The sequence below is a fragment of the Homo sapiens genome, chromosome 17 (assembly GCF_000001405.40).
Source record: "Homo sapiens chromosome 17, GRCh38.p14 Primary Assembly".
In the NCBI taxonomy this organism is placed as follows: Eukaryota; Metazoa; Chordata; class Mammalia; order Primates; family Hominidae; genus Homo; species Homo sapiens.
Window position 1 is genome coordinate 52126827 of NC_000017.11, and position 22768 is coordinate 52149594.

Genomic DNA, 22768 nt, shown 5'->3' on the forward strand with positions numbered 1-22768 from the left:
GTAGCTTTATAAAGGATTAATACATAAAAATAAACTAAGCAATGCCTTTTCTATATTACATTTTGCTAAAGAATGTTTTGATGTCAACTTTTTTGAAAGCTGACTAGAAGTGAGGAGAGAATGTAGCAAATAGAGGAGAGCACTGGCCTCTTTACTTATATATTTGTATATTTATTTGCAATTATACAATAAGATGTGAACACATGCTCACAATAATTCAGACAGTAATTAAAAGGCTCAAGTTCCTTTTACCTATTCTGTTCCCTCATCATAACCTTACCCCAACCATGAAGTGATTACTGTTATCAATTTGGTATGTATCCTTCTAGAATTTTTAGTATGTAATCACAAACATATATATGGATTTTACATAAATAGCACGCTATACATATTGTCCAGCAAGTTTGTTTTTGACATATGTCTTGGAGACTTTACCATGTGGGGACATCGAGTTCTAGCATATTCTTTTTCACTGTGGCATAGTATTGTATTACATGGATCCACTACAGTTTACCTACCCCATTTCTGGTGGGTGGGCTTTTGGGCTGTTTCTGATGTACTATGCTGTATATGGTTCCCAGCACACATGCATGCATATTTCTCCAGGGTATACACTGAGAGGTATAATTGTGGCTTCAGAAGTATTCACTTCCTTTCCTCCATTTAAATTTAAATAGACACTGCAGACTTGCCCTCCAATAATGAAGTAACAATGTACACTTCCACCAACAGAATCCACTCCAGTTAAGCATCTCTGTGGTATTCTAGGGAGGTAGTCAGTTGGGCAGAAGAGGCTGGTGTCCTCTAGCTCTCTGAGGGTTATGAACATACATTCAGTAGGTAAATCCCAAGAGGTGAAAGGATCTCAGCTGGCAATGGTTCTCCCCTTTTCATTTCACTAGAGTGAACTCCTTTTTAATGCTTCTTTGTCCTTTCTTATTTCGGTTTTTAGCTGAAATAAGATGTGACATGCTCACAATAATTCAGACAGTACTTAAAAGGCTAGATCTTTGATAACAGATATCCTGTGAACCTGTGTTTCACCTGACCATTAAAATCGTTCTTTGGAATTAATAACAACTACCGTTGATTAACTGACACACACTTTGGATGTACTATCTCAATACATCCTCAAAATACATCCTCAGAATAACTCTGTAAGATAGGTATTGCTTTGATCTACATTTTTCAAATGAGTACACAAAGAGGTATGTAAATCTACCCAGGGACATAAGGGCTATTAAGACATAGAGCAGAAATCTGAATCTGGGCTGGGTGGTTTCCAACCCCAGTTCTGGGGCTATGAGCCACTGGGCTCTACTGCAAGCAATCATTCCCTTCTCTGCTCTCCTAAGCCTGTTTATCTCTGCCTCCCTTGCATCAGGCATTGCTTTCTACCTTTTATTAGTTATTTGTCAATAGGATTTATCTTATCTTTTAGCCTGTTAGCTTCTCAACTGAAAAATGCATGGATGAGTCACCTCTGTCTCCAAGACCATTTCAAAAAATACAGTACCTCAAACACAGTAGGAACTTGATAAATATATCTTGAAAGAAAGATGTACTTACCACTCAGCTTCACAAAACTTCTCCCTTACAATCCAAGATCACTGACTGTCCCCCTGCTGAATCTGACAATGGCCTTCATGGGTCGTCCACTGTGGCATCTTTTCAGGAGGTAATTCTCATATCAGAACTTCTAGATACGAATGGCTTCTAATCCTATCTCTACCACTGAGAACCATTTTCTTTATGGCCCATTCTCACACGACACCACTGATGCAGGATCTGATGTCTTCATGTGAGTTAATTTATCTGATACGTTAATTAGAATTAATTTGCCTTAATTGATCAATTGGAGACATTCATATCTTGCAGCCCTTCACTTCTAAACCCTGTTTTCTAACTTTCCCTCCCAGACCTCTTCTTCTAGCATTTAACCCCAGATTTTAGTCTTTTGGGCATGCCTTTATTCTGCTTTCCAGCTCAGCTGCTGAGGGAAATCCTGATTTGACTGCCTGGCTTCCATGGCAGCTAAACATCTGGATACTATCTTTTGAATCACCTTCCAATTCATGCTCTAATTCCCATGGGTGAATCACACCCTACCCATGACTAAGGCAAATCCTCACTATTTCAGTTAGACCCAGCATCTTGAGTTCCTGTTTATTCGAATGGTAACTGAAATAACATATAACAAACACTGTAACAAGGACTATCAGTGTTCTATTGAAAGAAGTGGCCCTCGTGTAAAGAAGACTAAGCCACCACTTTCTCCTCTACCTCTCTGTAGCCTACTCATCCTGAAAGCCATAGTCCATGTTGCCTTCCTCAACTGTCCCCAACAGTTATTAGGATACTTATTAACTTCTGATATTCATCAACCAAACTAGCATTTAATTATATATGGTCTTATATTGTTTTATGTGATCTATCATCTCCCTTATTAAGCAAAAAGCTTCTTGTAGCAGGGAACAAACATATTGCCATACTCTCCTTTATCATCATTGTCCTCTTCACCATTGCAAATATTTTCTTTAACTTATTGAGTGCAGAATGCTTTACATGAATTAATTCATTTAATCTTCACAAGAACACTATGAGGTAGATGCCATTGCTATCCTCGTTATGGATATGAGAAAACTGAGCACAGAGAGGATAAGTAACTTGCTTAAGATCACATGGATATACTATGTGGTGAATCAGGTATTTGAATCTTGGCAGCCTGGTTCTAGAATCTAAGAGCTTAACCAGTGAGACTTTCTTTCATGTGATCCTTTTATAGTACCAAAAACAGCTGAGAACGTACATAGTACTAAATAGTAATAAATAAGTACAAAGTAAGTACTCATTAGATGCCTAATTTACAGTTTGATGCCCATGGGCTTTTCAGTGTCCTTGAGTCCTCTCTATCATCATCTCAAGACTCAACTGCATATAGTTCAACTACTTAACATAGGCCTGGACACAGGGAAGGGGTCAGACTGGAACAAGATTTGTTGACAATTCTGCACAGAAAAGGAAACAGTCAACAGAATAAAGACAACACCAGTAGAATGGAAGAAAATATATGCAAACCAGATATTTGATAAGGGGTTAATATCCAAAATATACAAGAAACTCAATAGTAATAAAACAACTCACTTTAAAAATAGCCAAAGGACCTGAATAGACGTTTTTCAAAAGAAAGCATATAAAGAGCTAACAGGTATAAGAAAAAATGCTCAACATCACTAATCATTAGTGAAATGAAATAAAAATTTAAACCACAATGAGATATCACCTTATTCATGTTAGAATGTCTCTTAATAAAAAGATGAAAGATAACAAGTGTTGGTGAGGATATGGAGAAAAGGGATCCCTTGTGCACTGTTGGTGAGAATGCAAATTAATACAGCCATTAAGAAAAAAAGTATGGTGGTTCCTCAAAAAATTTAAAATAGTACTAACATATGACCCAGCAATCCCACTTCTAGGTGTATATCCAGAGTATATGGGATCAGAGGTTGAAGAGATATCTACATTCTCATGTTTACTGCAGCACTGTTCACAGTAGCTAAAACATGGAATCCATCTAAATGTCCATCAATTGATGAATGAATAAAGAAATGTGGTATACACACAAATAGAATACTATCCAGCCTTAAAATAGAAGGAAACTCTGTCATTTGCAACACCATGTATAAACCTAGAGAACACTACATTAATTGAAATAAGTCAGAAAAAGACAAATATCGCATTATCTCACTTATATGTGGAACGTAATAAAGTTGAACTCATAGAAGCAGAGAATAGAATGGTGGTTACTAGCGACTAGATGGTGCAGGGTTGGGGAGATGGCGGTCAAAGGATATACATGTCTTTTTTTCTTCTTTCTTTCTTTTTTTTTGAGATGGGGTCTTGCCCTGTTGCCCAGGCTGGAGTTCAGTGGCACTATCATAGTTCACTAAAGCCTCAGACTCTTGGGCTCAAGTGATCCTTCCACCTCAGCCTCCTGAGTAGCTGTGACAACAGGCACACACCACCAAAGGATATAAATTTCAGTTAGACAGCAGGAATCAGTTCAAGAGATCTATTGTACACCATGGTGACTATAGTGAATAACTATGTATTGTATACTCGAAAATTGCTAAAGGAGTAGATTCTAAGTGTTTTTTAAAAATAAGAATGTGAGGTAATACATATGTATAATTAGCTTGATTTATCTATCCCACAATGTATACATAAATCAAAACACAATATTACATATGATAAATATATACTATATTTATTTTTATTTTATTTTTTTTTAGACTATAAACATAAATATTATTGTTTGGCATTACCCCAAAGTTCCCCTTTAAAAAAACAAATAAATGGAAATAATATATATTTGAGTGTTCTGTCTCTACTTTCTTTGAACCAAGGAGGCCTCATACTTTATGAGTTTGTTCCACCCTCTTCTAATATATCTGTCAACAGAGCATGGCAACAGTGTTACAAAATTTAATGTTTTAAAATTTTGAACAAATTAAAAACATGAAATTTATATTTCTCTTACATTTTACTATTCTCTAATGAGGGAAAATGATTTAAATTTTGGACTAAATGCAACCAGCATATAAAATAATTCTCTTCTGAGTGATAGTGAAACAATTACTGAATTACAACTATATGCAGAAAGTATTTTTGCCTAACATGTTTTCCATGTGACTAACATTATAGCTCATTGCAAGTGGTTTATTTGTTTTATAATTAATAAAGAAGTCCAGGTGGAGTTTAACACAAAAACAGAAGATAGAGAGCATTTAATTTTGTAGAGAGCTTTCAGTACTAAAATAGGTAGTCAGAATTTTCTGACTTTAATGGAGTCAGAAACTGGGTAACTTTCATTCTTTTAACTTAAATCAGTTTCTGGATTTAGTTTATCAAAATAGACTATATTGTATGTGTATTGGTGAACTAGAAATAGATCAGCTCTCAAGAAAATGTGGCACATATACACCATGAAATACTATGCAGCCATAAAAAATGATGAGTTCATGTCCTTTGTAGGGATATGGATGAAATTGGAAATCATCATTCTCAGTAAACTATAGCTAGGACAAAAAACCAAACACTGCATGTTCTCACTCATAGATGGGAATTGAAAAATGAGAACACATGGACACAGGAAGGGGAACATCACATTCTGGGGACTGTTGTGGGGTGGGGGAAAGGGGGAGGGATAGCATTAGGAGATATACCTAATGCTAAATGATGAGTTAATGGGTACAGCACACCAGCATAGCACATGTATACATAGCACATGTATACATGTATACATAGGGCACATTATGTACATGTACCCTAAAACTTAAAGTATAATAATAATAAAAAAAGAAATACTATTTTTATTTTTAAATTAAAAAAATTAAAACAGCTTGTCCCCAAGAGCTGTGGAAGCAATGGAGAGGCAGACTCAGAGGAAGACGCTGCAAGAGAGATGGTTTGACTGGAGAGGCACTGAGCATGACAACAACAGGATATGGTCCAGATGTGGCAGACAGTAAAGCACATGGGGGGCTAAGAAAATGGACTTTGAAAGAGGACTGCCTAAACTGGAATCCCAGTGCCACAGAGTGCTACTCATGGAACTGTTGTGAGCTATGTGAGTCAATTCTTCTAAAGTACTAAGCACAGTAAAGGAGAAAGGTGTGCTGTACCTGTTAACTGCTATATTATTCTGAATAATTAGAATGAAGACCAATATCTGACTTCTGGGTTTCTGACTTATATGTGGGGCACAGCAACAGGGAATGAAGGCACAGTGAACATGCAGAATTCAGCATCTTTCCTCAGGCTCTGGCCATCTGAGCACACTTGGTTTTAGTGAAGTTAGCTTATAGGCAGTTCTAGAAACAAATTTAGGGAGGATTTGGGGCCCTAAGCCTAGAGATTCCAAGGTCCTTGTATAGGTTAACACAATAGAAATGCATGTACCAGGTACAGAAGAGAGGGCCCTCATCAGGACTGGGGTACAAACTGGGGACTTGGTCCAGACACAGGTGACATCTCGTGGCTCAACCGAGGCACAGGACCACAGTGAGACAACAGCAAGGGTACCTTGGAGCAGAGCCTAATATATGGGGTGGAATTACAGGGCTTAAATCAGTGCTACCTCTTCTCAGGAGTAGCGCAGAGGACCATGGGCAGGCTGAGTATGCAGATAAGGATTATATGACTCCAAAGGTAAGGAAAAGCTGGGAGTTGGGCTGGACCTAATCCATGTTGCATGGAGCTGCTTCACTGCCCTGTCTGGGCCTCACCTTCTTGGTGAGCAAGCAATCTGGTACCATGCCCTTTGGTGAAATCAGGCATGGAACAGGTGACTGACCTTGGGGAACGAAAGCCAAGCTGCCATTCATCACAGCCCATGGTGCAAACCTCTAAGGTAAGCCTTGGAGCCTCCAGCGCCCCAGCGGTGGGGCATCCGTCCTCTGGGCAGGGAGCTTCAATTCACACAGCAGGAGAGCCATAACATAGCAGGAGACACACAGAAGGCCTTTAAATGTCTATTTTTTAAAGTGGTTAGCAAAGCAGGAGAGAAACTGTCAGAGATCCGCAATGCAGAGTTTAATCTGGAAAGTCAGTGAAGAGGTGGAAGGAAACAGAAAACAGGAGACTGGAAGAAGAGGCTTCAGGATTTGGGGAGAGCAAAGCAAAAAGTGTTAACAAGAAAAAAAAAACAGTTGCATATCAGAAACTGCTCAATTCTCATGTCAACATTTACAGAACACTGTTTTCCATTTTTCCGACTGCTCTATGCATTTGACAAATTTTTACTTGTTCTTAATTCTAGCTCAAAGTTCACCTCCTTTAGACAAAGCCATACCCTCTTCTGGCCTCTGTTTTAATAGATACAATGTTTGTAATAGCATATTTCAAAATATTGTGTAATGAATTGTGACTCTGGATATTATAGCCACTCATCATTTTCTTGAGGATATTTATCCTTATATCCCCAGGACTTAGTAAAGTTCCTGGCACATATTAGCTAATGGTCAATTAATGGTCACTTAATGAATAGAAGATTAATGAATGAAGAAGGAACCAAGGAGGGAAGATGCTTTATGACTGTACAGGGTGCATGCGAGGGGAGGCAGGAAGTGAGATCTATAAAGGTGTCTTAGCATATCATGCTGGTGATGTGAGCCAAGCTAAGCATTGCAGCTTTCATCCACTGGCAAGGTAGCATAATAAAAGGCTGTAAAGCAGAATGTTTCAAAGAGCTGTTCCCCCAGTGCCATCTTCACTCTATACGTTATTAATCTCATTTCTTCCCTACTTCGAACTAATGTGCTCACATTCAAAGATTTGGCATATATAGACCCATTCAAAACAAAATGTTTCAAGTTCTCCAGAAAATAATCCTAAACCTCAACTTCTTCAAGAAATAATCCTAAAATAACCTCCCATCAGCTTCTTTGTTACTCAGTATTTTATTCTTAACTTATTGTAACCTTGTACCTATTTATTTGTCCCTTGGGAGATGATGGTTTTCTTTAAGAGTTATGAGTGTACTTTCTAGTGCCAAACTTGGGTTCAAAGCCTAGCTCATCCACCCACAAGCTTTCTGTCTTTAACTAAATTATTTAATATCACTGAGTCTCAGTCTGTTCACCTCTATAGGCATGATAAATAATGCCTACCCACATGATTTCGGTAAGAATTGAAGGCTATTGTAAAGTTTAAACATGAACTAAACAATCAATACCAGCAGCTAGTAATAGTGGTTCTGCCAATATTAGTTAAAAATAATAATAATAGTAAGTTTGTTCTTATGCCCTGGCATACTCTCTGGGAGAAAGAATCATCTTCTCTTTCTTAGGTTATTATTTCTTTTTCTCTCCCCTCCTACAACTGCACATCTGCCTCTTCCCTTCACAGTATTTTGCAATTCTCTGTGTGACTCAAAGCAGAGCTCAGGTTATGCATGACAGCTGCCTCTTCCACTGTGCCCTGGCACCATGGATGTCACTGCCATCCTCCACCCCATGCATGAGCCAGAACCCTGGGCTCCTTCTGACTCACCATTCTCCCTCACCCCCACCATACACAGTTCATCAGGCTCTGTGAATCCACATCCTGAACGGCTCCTGATGCTGGCCATTGCTCTCCATGTGTGCCATCACCTTCAACAGGTTACCTGCATCTCCAACCCAGACTGCCACCAGAGCCTCCTGACTGCCCTCCTGAGGTCGCCTGTGAGAAATAAAAATGGAATCCTAAGCCCCCCAACTGAATGGACCCTCTATTGGCCAAGGGGACCCCAGATTAACCTTAAAAATTGAGTTCTCAGCCATGACAGGATGAGAGGTCAGACATGCCTCAGTATATCCCTCCCTCGCTAACCATGTTAGGCTTTCCTCCCTAAGGGATAAACAGAAACTAGCTCTTTGGAAAGACTCCACTTTTGATACCAACAAACCACCTGATGCTGCCCCTCCTTTTTTTGCCTGAGAAAAGACCACTGACCATGCAGTGGTTCTGGCCAGTCTATGGAGAATGTGCAGTAAAGGCTTTTGTGTCCTCTGCTTCACCTTTTGACATCAGAGAGCTCAAAACTCCACCCTTGGATCATGCTAATGCTACCATTTTTTTTGTACATGGGACCCACAAATGGGCATGAAGTTCAATTGCACAGGACCACGTTTCTCCTTTCATGAATATTCATGACTCCTCCTATAGCTTATTAAATATGTATATTTGGCCACCTTGCTCAGCGCACGTTCCTATTCCCTTTACCTCTCCCTTGAAGTGTCTGTTTCTAGCTTCTGGCAAGAGGCTATGCTTCCTAGCCTGTGGGAATGGGCACCCTGCAGGCTGCAACACTTTATGAGAAATAAAGCTGTTTTCCCAAATTTATGAATCTTGTCATTCTTCAGTTGATACTTGTCTCCCTCTCTGCTTCTCATTACTGCTCAATTCTCCACTCTGTAGCTGGAGGGGTCTTCTTAAAGCATAACTACGATCATGTGAAACCCCCACCCTAAGGCCCTCTCCTGGCTTCCCCATTGCTCTTAGCATACACATCCAAGTTGTTAAACATGGCTGTTTAATAATCATGCTTATTATCTGTGCTGGAGCCACACTGACTTTATATCAGGTCCCCTCTTTGCATAGGCTGCTATTGTTTCCTCCAATAAGCTCTCCAAATAAATAAGCCTTGCATAATACTGCTTAAAACCAAAGTTAAGTCCTGAACTCTGAACTAGGAAGGTCTCTTTTTAGTTCAGGATACTGTATGTCACTGATATAAAGCACTGTGTGGAGACAAGTCTCAGAGAAAAAGACGAGGCTGGCAGAATATAAGAGAAAGTGACGGATGGAGGAACTGGATGCCTAAAAGCACTTCATTTCACTTTTCTAAATGTGCCCTGTCAAAATGAAGGGAGCAGACCCAGTAAGGCTGAAGTTAGTGGTTGCACAATAAAGTAGAATATTTATCTTCGCTCTGGAGCTGCAGACCATTAGCATTAGAAAACACCACCAAGTCTGTCTCCTAACATGCCTGGGGCCCTCGGAATGGGGAGGATCCTGATTTAATGAGCAAGTTACACCATCTGTCAACAGGACGGCTGAGAGGTAATTCAGCCAACAGCAGCTCCCAGAATTTAAGGAGCAAAACACTTGTGTGCTATTTGTGTAAGACATGGCCCCTAGCTTCACGGTCAAGGAATCCTACGCACCCTAACTACTCAAGCTGGGAGTGAGGGGTGGTATCTGTGTGTCTTGCTCACAGTCCAGCCAGCTTCAGCTTTTTTGTGTGGGTGCTTGATGAGCTTTGCAGAAGGGAGACATCCAGCTAGAAATAGGGTCCTGGAGAGTTCCCTCTGCCCCCCTTTCTGAGCCTAATAATTTCTGGCAAGAGGCTACAACACGTATTAACATAAACAATATCACTGGCCAAAGTATTCACACTGTTATGGATGGAAGGAAGGAGGTGACAGAAGAGAGTATATTTCATGTATATTCCTTGTGAGACACGATTTTGAAATGGAAATAATCTAAGAGAATAAATTTTGCACCTAGATTAGTGAAAGCAACATGGAGTTGCTTTGGAAAATACCTCAGTTGTAAAATAATGTGATCTTTTACTAAATGAACTGGTAATTAATATCAAAATGAGGAATTTTTTCCCTGTAAAAATTAGTCAACTTGGAAATCTATATAAATTCTTCTTCTGTATTTCTATAGCTCATTTTATAATACTTATTAAATTTTGAAGTTTACGGATGTGGGGATTTTTTTTTTTTCACACACACTTGTGAGTCCCTAGGCCAGAGCTTGGCACACAGGGAGGTAGGGTGGCAAAAGTGTATGGACCCAAAAGTCAAATAACAGGAAATTCAAATCCCAGCTCTCTTACCTAGCAGTATGAATTTGGTCATATTTCCTAAGCCTCAGCTTCCTCATCTGCAGAATGGGGAGAACAACTATCCATTTCTCCAGGGTTGATGTGACAATTAAATGAAATAAATAATATAAAATATTACTATTATCTGTAACACACAGGAATCACTCAATAAATATTGACTACTGTTAGATATTCAAGTGAAAATATTCATTTCAGCATAATGCTTTTATGCATAAATTGTTGTGAAATCATCTTGACATCCTAACTCCCATTGTTCAAAACAAACAATATAAATTTGGGTAGGATTTGATATGAAGAGACAACTGAAAATCAGTTAAATATAAGCCTGGTATCTATGAACTTCTTGACTGTCAGCTTTGAGTCTTACTCTCTTATTCTCCTTTGAAGCTATAATATCTTTCACAGTGCTTGGCACTCAGCTCCAGAAGCTATAATATCTTTCACAGTGCTTGGCACTCAGCTCCAGTAAATATTTATTTAATAAATGGAACATTTGTTGAATAAATCACGGGGTGAATAAAGTGGGTGAACAATCTGAACAATCACAAGCAATTTTACTTAGCTTGTTTACCCAACCTAGCTTTAGGAATCTATTAGAATGCTATCAAAAAGTAGAGAGCACTGGATGCGGGAAATATTAATAATTTTTCTAGCTTTCCTTCACCACAGCTGTGGTGGACATTTGTCATGCTCCCTGGACTGTCATCACATTCTGAATACCTATCCTATGTGCATCAGTTTCCCATTGCTGCTGTAACAAATTACTACACATTTAGTAGCTTAAAACAACACAAATGTATTATCTTACAGTTCTGGAGCTCAGAAATCTGAAATGAATCTTAAGGGGCTAAAATCAAGGTGTCAGCAGGCATGTGTTCTTTCTTGAGGCTCCAGGGAAGAATTAATTTCCTTGTCTTTTCCAGCTACTGGGGATCTTTTGCATTTCTGGTAACTCCCTTCCTTCCTCTTCAAAGCACATCAATCCAACCTCAGCTTCTGTTCTCACATCTTCTTTTTCTGACTCTGATCATTCTGCCCCTCTTTTATAATGACTTTTGTGATTACATTTGGCCCACCCAGATAATCTAGGATAATCTCCCAATCTCAAGATCTTTAATCATGAATGCTAAATCCCTTTTACCATGTAAAATAAACATATTCATAGGTTCCTGGCATTAGAATTAGGACACAAACATCTTTGGGAGGCTATTCTTCAGCCAACTCACTATATTTGGAGTATTTCCTGCCTTTTGTATCCAGTCCCACCCAGGTAGAAACCTGTACTTTACTTTGGACAGGATGCAGGCATGTGACTGAACTTAGTCATTCAGATGCCTGAGATTATGGTTCTAAAGTGAACAGCATGAGCAAGCAGGTTTGATATCAAATCCATCTTCTGGTGAGGTTGGTAGCAGCAGTGTCCAGCTTTCTGGATACCAATGGTGTATAGAGCTCAGTCCACACCAGTGATGAGATCTGGCTGTTTCTACACAGCAGTGGCAGGAGTCTTTTTTTAGAGCAATGCCATAATATACCCTTGTAAGTACAATTTCCAATTACTATTTTTTGGCCTACCCTCAGACTCTGTGAGCACCTCAAGTGCTTTAATAAAAAATTTTTTCTGCTTATAGTAGTCCTGAAGGTTTCATTATTTATAACTAAGGAACCCAGTGGACACAGCCTCCTGTGCTAGGTTGTAAGAAGCGCTTGCAGGGAGGCTGACGGAGTGCTCCTAGAAAATTGGAACAGCAGACAATCATTTGGGGCACCATTTAGGTGCCAAGTACTTAGTAAAAAAGGCCCTGAAGAAATGGAATGCAATCATTCAAACTAGGAGTTGGTAAATTGCGCTGTTCTTTATAATACCCGGTGTAGGGGGAGGAGAGAAAGAGAATATCCTATGGAGGTCTGTTCTGAGACTTTGATCTTCATCTCTTCTCAATATGACAGACCAATTCAGATAGAATTCTGTTTGTGAAGGAACAGCAAGAGAGATTTTGATTACTGATTCTGGTCAGCATGGATGCACCCCTCAGTGATTTTCAAAGCACTTTATGGCCTTTAGTTGTTTACATTAAATTAAATAGTCTTGGATATCCATTAGTTTAGAAAGCAAAATTATATCTGGCTTAAAACTGCTTTTTGCCTACTGCCTCATTCGCCTCTGCATTATCTAGAACTTGCTCACATATGGCTCTTACTTTATCCATCTGTAAGACAAGGTGATTTTTTTTTTTTTTTCGAAATAATGCATTTCCATCCCTCTCTGTTCGGTGTCTTTTGCTTGCAGTTTGGAGAGCTTGGTTCAAATCCTAACTCTAGCAGTTAGTAGCTGGGTGACTTGAACTAGTTACTTAACCTCTCTGAGCTTCCTTTTTCTACAAAATGTTGATAATATACTCCCAAACAGACTTGTAGTGAAGATTGAATAAGTATGTGATATGGTGGCTGAGCTCAGACTCTGGATTCAGACAGGTCCACATTCAAATCTTAGCTTACATCTTAACAGCTGTGTGCTCCTCAGTGTTACCTGGGTGCCTGTCTCCTCTCAATAGAATCAGAGATGGATAAGAAGTCCCTCATAGGGTTAGAGATAAAATGAGATAATAAATGGACAGCACTTTGCACAGTGCCTGTTAGGTTCTAATATTATGAACAGTTAAGTGGCTGTTTGGAGTGGGTGTTTGGAGTGAATTAAGGAATTATCAAACGAAAGAATAAAATCAACTTCATGTTTTCAAACACCCCCACCACCACCTTCTCTCAACACGGTCTCTAGTGATCTGAAATCCTTTCTAAATAATTGTTTAAAAGTTGTTACCACTAACAGAGATCAGATCTGTGGTTGCCTGCACAAGGATTGGAGAGGGACTGACTACAAAGAAACATACAGAAATTTGGGGAGTGATAAAAATGTTCCACATCTTAGTTGCGGTGGTGGTTATAGGACTGTCTTTTTTACCCCAAACTCATCAAACCATATAATTAAAATGAGTGCATTTTATGTTTAATGTACTTCAATAAAAGTTTATATTAATTAATGTATTATGCTTCTAGAGCAAGGGTTAGCAAACATTTTTCTGGGAAGGGACAGATAGAAAGTAATTTGAGCTTTGCCGGCCTTAGGCTCTGTTGCAGCTACTCAACTTTGCCCCTACGGTGTAAATGTAGCCATCGAAAATAGATACTAGACAGTACATAAATGAATGAGTGTGGTTGTTTTCAATCAAACACAATTCATGAACCAAAATTTGTTTTCATATAATTTTCATGTGTCATGAAATATATTATTTCCTCTTTTGATTTTTTTCCCCAACTATCTGAAAATGTAACAACCATTCTTAGCCCCTGGGCCTTACAAAGACAAGGCAGTAGGCTGGATTTGGTCAGTGGGCCACTGTTTGTCAGCCCCTGCTCTAGAGTTCCAAAGAGGCTTTGTTACGCAGCGTTATGAAATCTGCTTTAGGGACTTAGTGCAAATACCATGTCTAAGAGGACTGGGAGTCCAGCTCCTGTGAGCCCTGTAGGGTCTTTGCCAGAACCCACTCTCTCTGTGGCCAGCCTAAGCCGCTGCTTCTTGACTTCAATTTTGCCATCTGTGCAGAGAGGACAACAATCATCTCTCAGAGCCTGGTAAAGCTCATTCAGCTTGTTATTTGAGAGAAAATGCTCTACCAAGTGCAGAAGCTGATCATGGCCTGGGTTATGAGTCTGGCCTGTCTCAATCATCAGGGGGAAAGTTTGATTTCTCAGGTTGTCATTCCTAAAATTGCTTGTTCTCCAGGTGATGTTCTTATTTCTGAATATGGTCTGACCTTCATTCCCCAAAGAGAAGGGTTATGTTTTCAAAGAGCTGGCAGAAGAAGAGTACTCAGAAAGCTTGCTCCTTCCCTGCCGAACTGCCATCCCAGCACAAACCATGCCTTAGGGGAGGGTGACTTTCCCCCATAATGTTTACCTGGATGGGACCAGAGCTACTCTAAGCTCCTCTGAGAGCAAAGGGAGCTTTATAAATGCAAACCAGCACAAACTGAGGTTTCTTGTTTTTGGTTTCTGACAGTAGAAGGTGCTTGAAGCATTACTTTGGGGTAGTAAAATGGCCAAGGTATCCACAAAAGTCAAGACAGTTCTGAGGTTCTTGAAGCTTCCGAGCTTTTAAAAATTGACTATTACATGTAAAATTCAATCAATCCCTTACTGAAGAAAAAATCATTATTCAGGTACCCAGTTTATCCTCCTACCTGTTGGAAGCATTTGATTCAACTGTTTCTCAGAAATGTTTTTTTGTAAAGAGGCAGAGAATACATGTTTTAGGCTTTGCAGGCAGTATGGTCTCTGTTGCAACTACTCAATGCTGCTGCTGTGATGTAAAAGAAGCCCTAGACAATACATCAATGAATGAGCATGACTGTGTCCCAGTACAACTTTGTTTTCTAAGTTGTAAACAAACAGGTTGTGGGCTGGATTTAGTCCACAGGCTGTTGTTTGCTGAGCTCTGGTCTGAGTTGTGTTATATCTAGAAGGGACTTGGTGGTTTAGGGAAGAGAAAAAAACCTAAATCAGCAGAGACTACTGGTGAGAATGTGGAAAAACCTATCATTACGGATTGGAGAGTAAAACCCAACCAATGAGCATGTTGCATTAGGAGTAGGATGGGGATACCCTAGATGAATCCTGGCCATGGTGAATTTTCCTGATGAAAGTAGAAAGGCAGCCAGTGGATGGGCAGCACCGGGGACAAGAAGAGCCGATGGGGCATTATGGGGAGATACTGCTGCTGGCTGGACTGCTCATAACAGTGTTCACAAAGAAGCCTCTGGTTGAACATGTGAGAACCTATGAGTAAGCCATGTAGGATTCAGGTGGGTCAAAATAAGGTAAAAACCACAGCATGAGCAAAAGCACAGGTAAGTGTCTGCAAGGTGCCTTCACAGAATCCTGAGTTGGAAATTGGAGCAAAGTTGGAAAGGTCAGTCTATGGCACATCATGGAAGACTTTAAAACATCACTTTCAACAGTGTGAACTCTTCATTTTTAAGAGTCAGTGACAGGTACTGAAGGTTTCTGAGCTTGTAGTACCATATCCCCTACAAAGCAGCTAACTCAAATAGTCTTCCTCCTTTACAAAGAGACTATGGTTGGCTGCATCTCACATGTTATGAATTTGATGCTAATACCAGATCACATTTATTAAGCCATTATTATGTGCCTGATAATACTGTACTAAATGCTTTACTTTCATATGTCATTTAATAATGCTTATAAAAAATCACTGATGGGGTTATTTTTTTTGAAAATACTTGGAAAATGGTTTAATGATGTTTTACAACAGAAATGAACTGTACAGTTATGGTAAGTTTAATATATATATAAAATTACAGCAGACAAATGCATCTACACAAAATCTACCATTTCATTCTGATTCACTGTCACCTACACAATCTTTCCCAAGCCTACAACCCCTGCAGGCAGCCCTAGGAGGGGGAATCATCTAAAGGGCACATTGAGAGAGACAGCACCGCTCATATTCCTCACAACCTCCTCAGGCCTCAGGAGCTGATGGGGTTATTTTTATCTCCATTTTACAGATTAGAAAACTGAGATCCATAAGAAGTTAACTTACCCAAAGCCAACCAGCTTGTAAGAGGCAGAGTGTGGGTTTAAATGCAGCTCTTAATCATTCTCAACTCAAGCTATATGGCATCTCAGTGGATTTAAACATATTTCTGCATTTTAATAGTTAAATAAAATACTTTTAACATCATTTCTAAATTGTTTCTCCAGTGTTCCCTCTCCTCAAAGATCTCCAATACTATAATTACATTTGTCATCCTTTTATCTTCCTATGAATTATTTTTTAAGATCACCAGATTAATAATAAAATATTTGTAAATTTAAATTTTGTTCAAATTTAATACAATCCCAGTGCACTGCTTTAGTATTAAATCTTGATTTCCATCAATGACATATCTATCCATCTATGTATATAATTATTTTCACATTATTTGGGCTATATTTTAGGAGGATGTTGCTTTAATGAACACAAACCATATATTTATCTGACATGAATTTTTGGCCACACACAATAATGTGATATAATTTTAAATAAGTAAAAAATGCTTATATAAGTAAAAGCTTAGAAAGAAACAAACCAGAATATTAATAATAGTTGTATTATGGTTATGTGATTATAAGTGATCTGTTTTTTCTCTTTTTTCCCAATTATTTTAAATTGGATTATGTTAGTGTTAAATTTTTAAAATATAATCATGTGAAAAATGTTCTTTTTAAAAAAAGAGAGGTTATAAAATAATCCAGTGGGAACTAATCAGCAACTAATGAAATAATGCCCAAATGCAAAAAGTGATGATGTTCCATGAAGGTTCCATGTACTTAAAGCTACTGGATCTCATTAAATCACTGGGACCTAAAATCAGGCTGGCTGGGGTGGGTCTACACTCAGCTTCTCTAAGTACAATCAATTTAAGAGAAACAGGAGTAGGGGTTTAGTGGATTAGTCACAGCAGGCCATTAATCTCTGCATTCTCAGTTGTAATCCAGCCTCTACCAACGAGCTTGGAGGAAAAAAATCCCACAAAAAAACCAAACACTGGGAAAAGCTCTAAAGCAGGCTCCCTAGAGACAGACATACTCAGGTCACAGTTTGCTTGTCTTTACTTAACATCAATACAGTATTTATCATCTGTCCTATTTCTTGTTGGTTTCCCTTTTATGCCTTTTGCTGAAATGCTCAGATCAGATATATTTGAAAAGGAACCATACTGCAATCTCAGGAATAGCTCAGCATTTAATTATCATTTAAAGAAATCCTTCTCTCAAGTGAATATGAAACAAATCAAAGCTATGTTTTCATGTTGAGAATAGGTTGAAAAAAACATGGGTAAGGTTACCACAAACACAAATTAGTGCTTGGGGAAGCAGGTAAGTCTGAACAATGAAAAGGGAATAGAGTAGCCAAATTTCAGTAAAAATGAGTGACAGTTTCAAAAATTGCAGGGTAAATAGTGTATCTTTTATCATAAATGGATTAGGCCATAATAATACCTCACTTCTTTATTGCTCTGGCAAATGATCTAGAATTTACTAATGTATTAAGTGGGAAAAAATAATAAGCAAATTCCTGAGCCAGGGTTCTATTTATGCCACTACTGTCAAGGCCGAATATTTATTGGATTATATGAGACCATATGCCTACATTAGAGGTTTTGATAAATTTAAAGTGCAGTTGTAAACTAAAAATATGGGGCATTAATTTCTTAATTTTTAAAAAATTATTAAAGGAACATATGGGCAAGACCCAGTAAACTGTCTCTGAAGATGATGCTATGAAAAGACATGATTATCTCCCTTCTTATTACCTTTAAAATATTCCCCAAACATTCTAGTTTCCCCTAGTGAATCAGATTCAACCAACCTTAACTGATTATGTGCTATGTGCAGACATTGTGCTGAACACTTTCACATGCATTGGCTCATTTAATCCCCATGTTTTACATGATATTGCCAAATTCCTTCCTAATTTTGCTCAACGTGTCTTTTATTCTTTTAGCTTCAGCCATATCGAAAGCAAAAGCCACCATTTATCAAGTGCATTCTATATGCCAAACACCAGGCTCCATTTTTTTTATTTCAAGCCCGCTTAACTCCAAAAATAGGTGTTATTGCCTCCAATTTACAAATGAGGATACTGACACTTAGTTAGAGATATTAAATAACTTCCTAAAGTCACACAATAAGAAACATCAGAGTTGAGGTTAAATAGTAAGATAAGGTATAACGTATAATGTTTTCGATGAATGCTCTTCAATACATCTGTAGCAGTCAATGACGACCCCTAGACTCTTTCCCAGCGTTGCACTAGAGGGTGACAAGGTAATCATTCCACAAATGTTATTTGGGTTATTTTTCTCATAATGCCTTATCATATGATTGCCCATATAGAAAGTCATTTTCCACTTTTTGTTCACTCACAGTCGTGAAAGATCTTCCTATATTTTCATCTTGTTGCCTCAACATTTCAAAAACTGGGGAAGTTTAGCATGAACAGCAAATTTGGACAACTTTCTGTAAAAGTCTCTTAATATACTAAAGTTCCTAAGTTGGAAAGGGATCTAGAAACTACTTAGTCCAATATGCTTAAACTGTTTAAAAGGAGAAAACTGGCCCCAGAATAGTAAAATTAATTCCTCCATGCCACAGAAGTAGTAGTGGCAAAACTAACACTAAACACAACATGTCCTAACTTCCATCCTAGTAATCTCTTGAGCAAATCACCTAATTCTATCTTCCCTATAATGTATAAAAATGTGCTCCAAGAACAATACTTAAGAAGGCTTAAAATTCTAGACCTAGAAAAGGTATTTGTTTATCTTAACCACAGTTTCCTGTCTCTGATCTAACTTGTTATGCAAAATAACATCTTGAATCCCATAGCTATTTAGGTTTGTTTAATAGATTTTGAGGTAAACCATTGCTGAAAGGATGTTTGAAAGATTAGTCACTATTCTACATACTTGCTTACTCTCTCAAGGAATTCAAGCACATTACTAGAGCCTCATAAACAGGTTATACATTACTTTCAGATATAATACAGTAAAATGGTAAGGAACTTCATACTGTTTGACCCAATAATCACAATATTGAGATTATTTTTAAAAAAAATTCGATAAATATCTACTTGGATAAAAACAAATGCCAAAAAATGTCATAAACTAGAAACAACATATATGCTTAAAAACAAGGGAAAGTTAAATATAAATAATGCTATTTTACATGAATAAACTACTATGGAAATATAAGAAAAAAATAATGCATATTGAAGTAGCAGATACTAGCTAATTGTTCGCAAACCATTTTCCCTTTGCTCCTGGCTACAAGGCTAGCCTACAACTCTCTAACTGCTTTAAAATAAGATGTTAACAGGTGCAACACACCAACATGGCACATGTATACATATGTAACAAACCTGCATGTTGTGCACATGTACCCTAGAACTTAAAGTATGATAATAAAAAAAAAATAAGATGTGGCTGGCTGGGCACTTTGGTTCACGCCTGTAATCCCACCACTTTGGGAGGCCAAGGCAGGAGGATCACTTGAGGTTGGGAGTTTTAGACCAGCCTGACCAATGTGGTGAAACACCATGGTAAAAAAATAAAAATAGGCCGGGCGCGGTGGCTCACGCCTGTAATCCCAGCACTTTGGGAGGCTGAGGCGGGCGGATCATGAGGTCAGGAGATAGAGACCATCCTGGCTAACACAGTGAAACCCCGCCTCTACTAAAAATACAAAAAATCAGCCGGCCGTGGTGGCGGGCGCCTGTAGTCCCAGCTACTCGGGAGGCTGAGGCAGGAGAATGGCGTGAACCCAGGAGGCGGAGCTTGCAGTGAGCCGAGATCCCACCGACAGAGCGAGACTCCGTCTCAAAATAAATAAATAAATAAATAAATAAATATAAAAAAATAAAAATAAAAATAAGATGTGGCAATGTGACTGACCAGAAAGGATGCCCACAGCTTTTCTTCTTGGCCCACAAAAACCCCTCCCATGGTCTTCCTCTACACTTTTTTTCCCCATCTGGTGATGTTGATGCCCAGGAAAACTTTGGAAACCATAGGAGGTAGCACAGCCCCCATCAACCTTGTGACTCCCAAGTCACCACTAAATACAGAATTTTTTTTCTTTTATCTCTTTCCTCTCACCAAGCACCTACATGCCCACACACATACATTGACATCTATTGGACAATTAATGCAAAGAAGTAAGCCTCCATTGTGTTATGTCACTGAGATTGTGGGGTGTATGTGTCAGGGTCCAGGATATGCTGAACTGACACAACTAGGAAGCAACATGGAGAAATATTTAAGATATAAAGTTTCTTTTTACAGTACAAATTGGAAAAGTTACAGTTTCAAAATTTAGTAAACAAAAATTTGGTCTATGGGGAATAATTTTTTTCCTAATTTTTTTCATAATATTTTATCATATTTGGCATAAAATACACTCTGATTCCAGGCTTCACTCATGTCTGTGACACTAAAACACTTTGCATATACAGTCCCTGTCTTGCAAGGAGCACTGATCAAGAAAGAACATCTGAGTTGGATACGTAATTGGCCTAAACAACCAAGGCATAAACACAACTCTCATTCATGAAGTTGTTCAACTTGTCTTTGGATGTGGCACATTATATGCCTTTACCTGGCTTAGTCAAGCTCTAATTTAAGCAGTTCTAAAAGCAGATTTAAAAAAAAAAAAAAAGCCTGCACTAACTTATACACTTAAAATTGCATGTGGCTCTCATTCAACCAATAAAACTCAGTGCTAAAACAAACTAAAAGGCCACAAGGAACTTCACCACAGTAGAAAAACAGGAATGAAACTTGTTACAGAAATAAAACATAATGACTTCACTACTTTATATTCCACTCTACAGGGGTTTGAGTCACTGTAACTTAAGAGCCAGTATCATTATGGTGCATTACAAGACTTAGACATCAAGTGACATATTTCTATCACACCCAGGTCATACAATAGAAACTTGATACTCACCGATGTCTCACTTTAAAATCCCCAAACATCCACTGAGAAATTAACAATAGGGCCCCTTTTTTTTCTATAACCCCTTTTTATTTTTTTCTGTAATTAAGATTACAAGCAAACAACAACAAATTATCCAATTGACCATCTCCTCACAGTTGTAAAGATTAACCAGGTGATTACAGGGTGAATTCACAGCCAAGGACAGCAAATCCACTCTGTTCTTTCAATTCCTAGGCTGCCAGCTCTTCTCTGGTAAGAACTAGTCAGCTACACCACAATTCTGTTACAAAAGGCCAGAGGGGAAGTAATGTTTTCTGACACAAGACTGAAAACACCATAGAGACCACAGTAATTTCCTGTATTGCTCTGCATCAAGACTAAAAAGTGGGGTAGGCTATTCTCCCTAAAGCACTCTAGTTCAACACACTAACAAGGGAACAGTGAGCTTTCTAAAGTGTTGTTTTCTCCCAAGTAGGAACTTGGTAAGAAATAGCGTACATGTTCCAAACAATCTCCTCAAGTAGGAACAGAGATGACATGGAGAAAAGAATGACAATGTATCCACTGATCTTTAATTGTCCTAGTTCAAGCCTTTGGTATGGTGTCATAAATACAAAAGGGCCGAAATACATTTTAAACAACTATAAGTGCCCCAAATAAGGATGATTTGTCAAATGGAAATATGAGTCAGAGCAGGACTAGAAAACTATCAAACATATTGCTCATTGGGAAGGTTCCCATTCTCTGTGACTCTGCACACTCAAAAACCTACATGCAGTAGAAGCAAGACAACAGCTGGTAGAGGTGTCTTCTTCATCTCCCCTCCCTCATGGCCTCAGATCTTGTCCCTCAGTCTGCCCTGAATGCAGAAAAGCCACTCTCCATCGCTCCTTATTATTCATTTATGTATTAATTCAGTCATTCATTATTGAGCATTTTCTAAATGCCAGGCACTGGGTTGGGTAATGGGAAAAAAAACACTCACACATTTGTGTGTCACTACACACATTTTATAGGGCAAAGACCATTGCTGTTTTTTTTACTACATTTTATCTTATGCCTGGCCCAGTGCCCACCTCATAGGAGGCATTTGTTAGCATTTGTGCAATAAATTAACAAATACATTTAACACTGGGAAAAAAATCTTCCATATATATTACTTTATTGTTTATTTCAAGAATCCTCTGAGGTATTTATTATTATTCTAACCTTGTGTTGGAGGACAGGCCTATGCTCCCTCAATAATTGCAGCTATCAGAATTGTTTTCCTTGAGGCTAAAAGGTAGCTGTGTGTGTAGTGAGAGAGAGGGGAGCGGAAAGAGAATATGTTGACTCACATCCTTCAGTAAATCTGTTTATTCCAACTCTGGCATTGCTGCCAAATGTGTTGCAAAGCCAGCAAGACTTGGCTCTGGAAAACTCACCTGAAAGTCACAGGCCTCATTTCCTACTGCCAGCCCCTTCAGCCACCAGGCATGAAGTATTGGACAAAGTTAAAGATTAATTCTTCATTTACTGTGACAAAATTACCACTTCTCCCAGATCAGTAGGCAAAGGCATTTGTATGCTGTGTCCTTCATAACCTTTGATAATCTCTCCACTGCCATCCTGATGGCCCAGTAATGCAAATGTAATCAAACCCCACACTGGCTATCCCGTTACCAGCCCAATCTTGCTAATAAACAGCAATTGTGGCTTTGTTATAAAAGTGATCCTAGATCATTTGTCACCACCCAAACCTTCCCACCCCAACCCCTGACTGCTGGAAATCCTTTAAAGGTCTGTTTAAGGTTACATGAAATAAAA

The 22768-nt window shown here is 38.6% G+C and overlaps 1 protein-coding gene across 3 annotated transcripts in view; it reads right to left on the bottom strand.

Moving 5' to 3' along the window:
- CA10 (carbonic anhydrase 10) overlaps positions 1-22768 on the bottom strand; it is a 529711-nt gene that overhangs the window by 496514 nt on the left and 10429 nt on the right. The gene's annotated exons all lie outside the window — the stretch shown is intronic.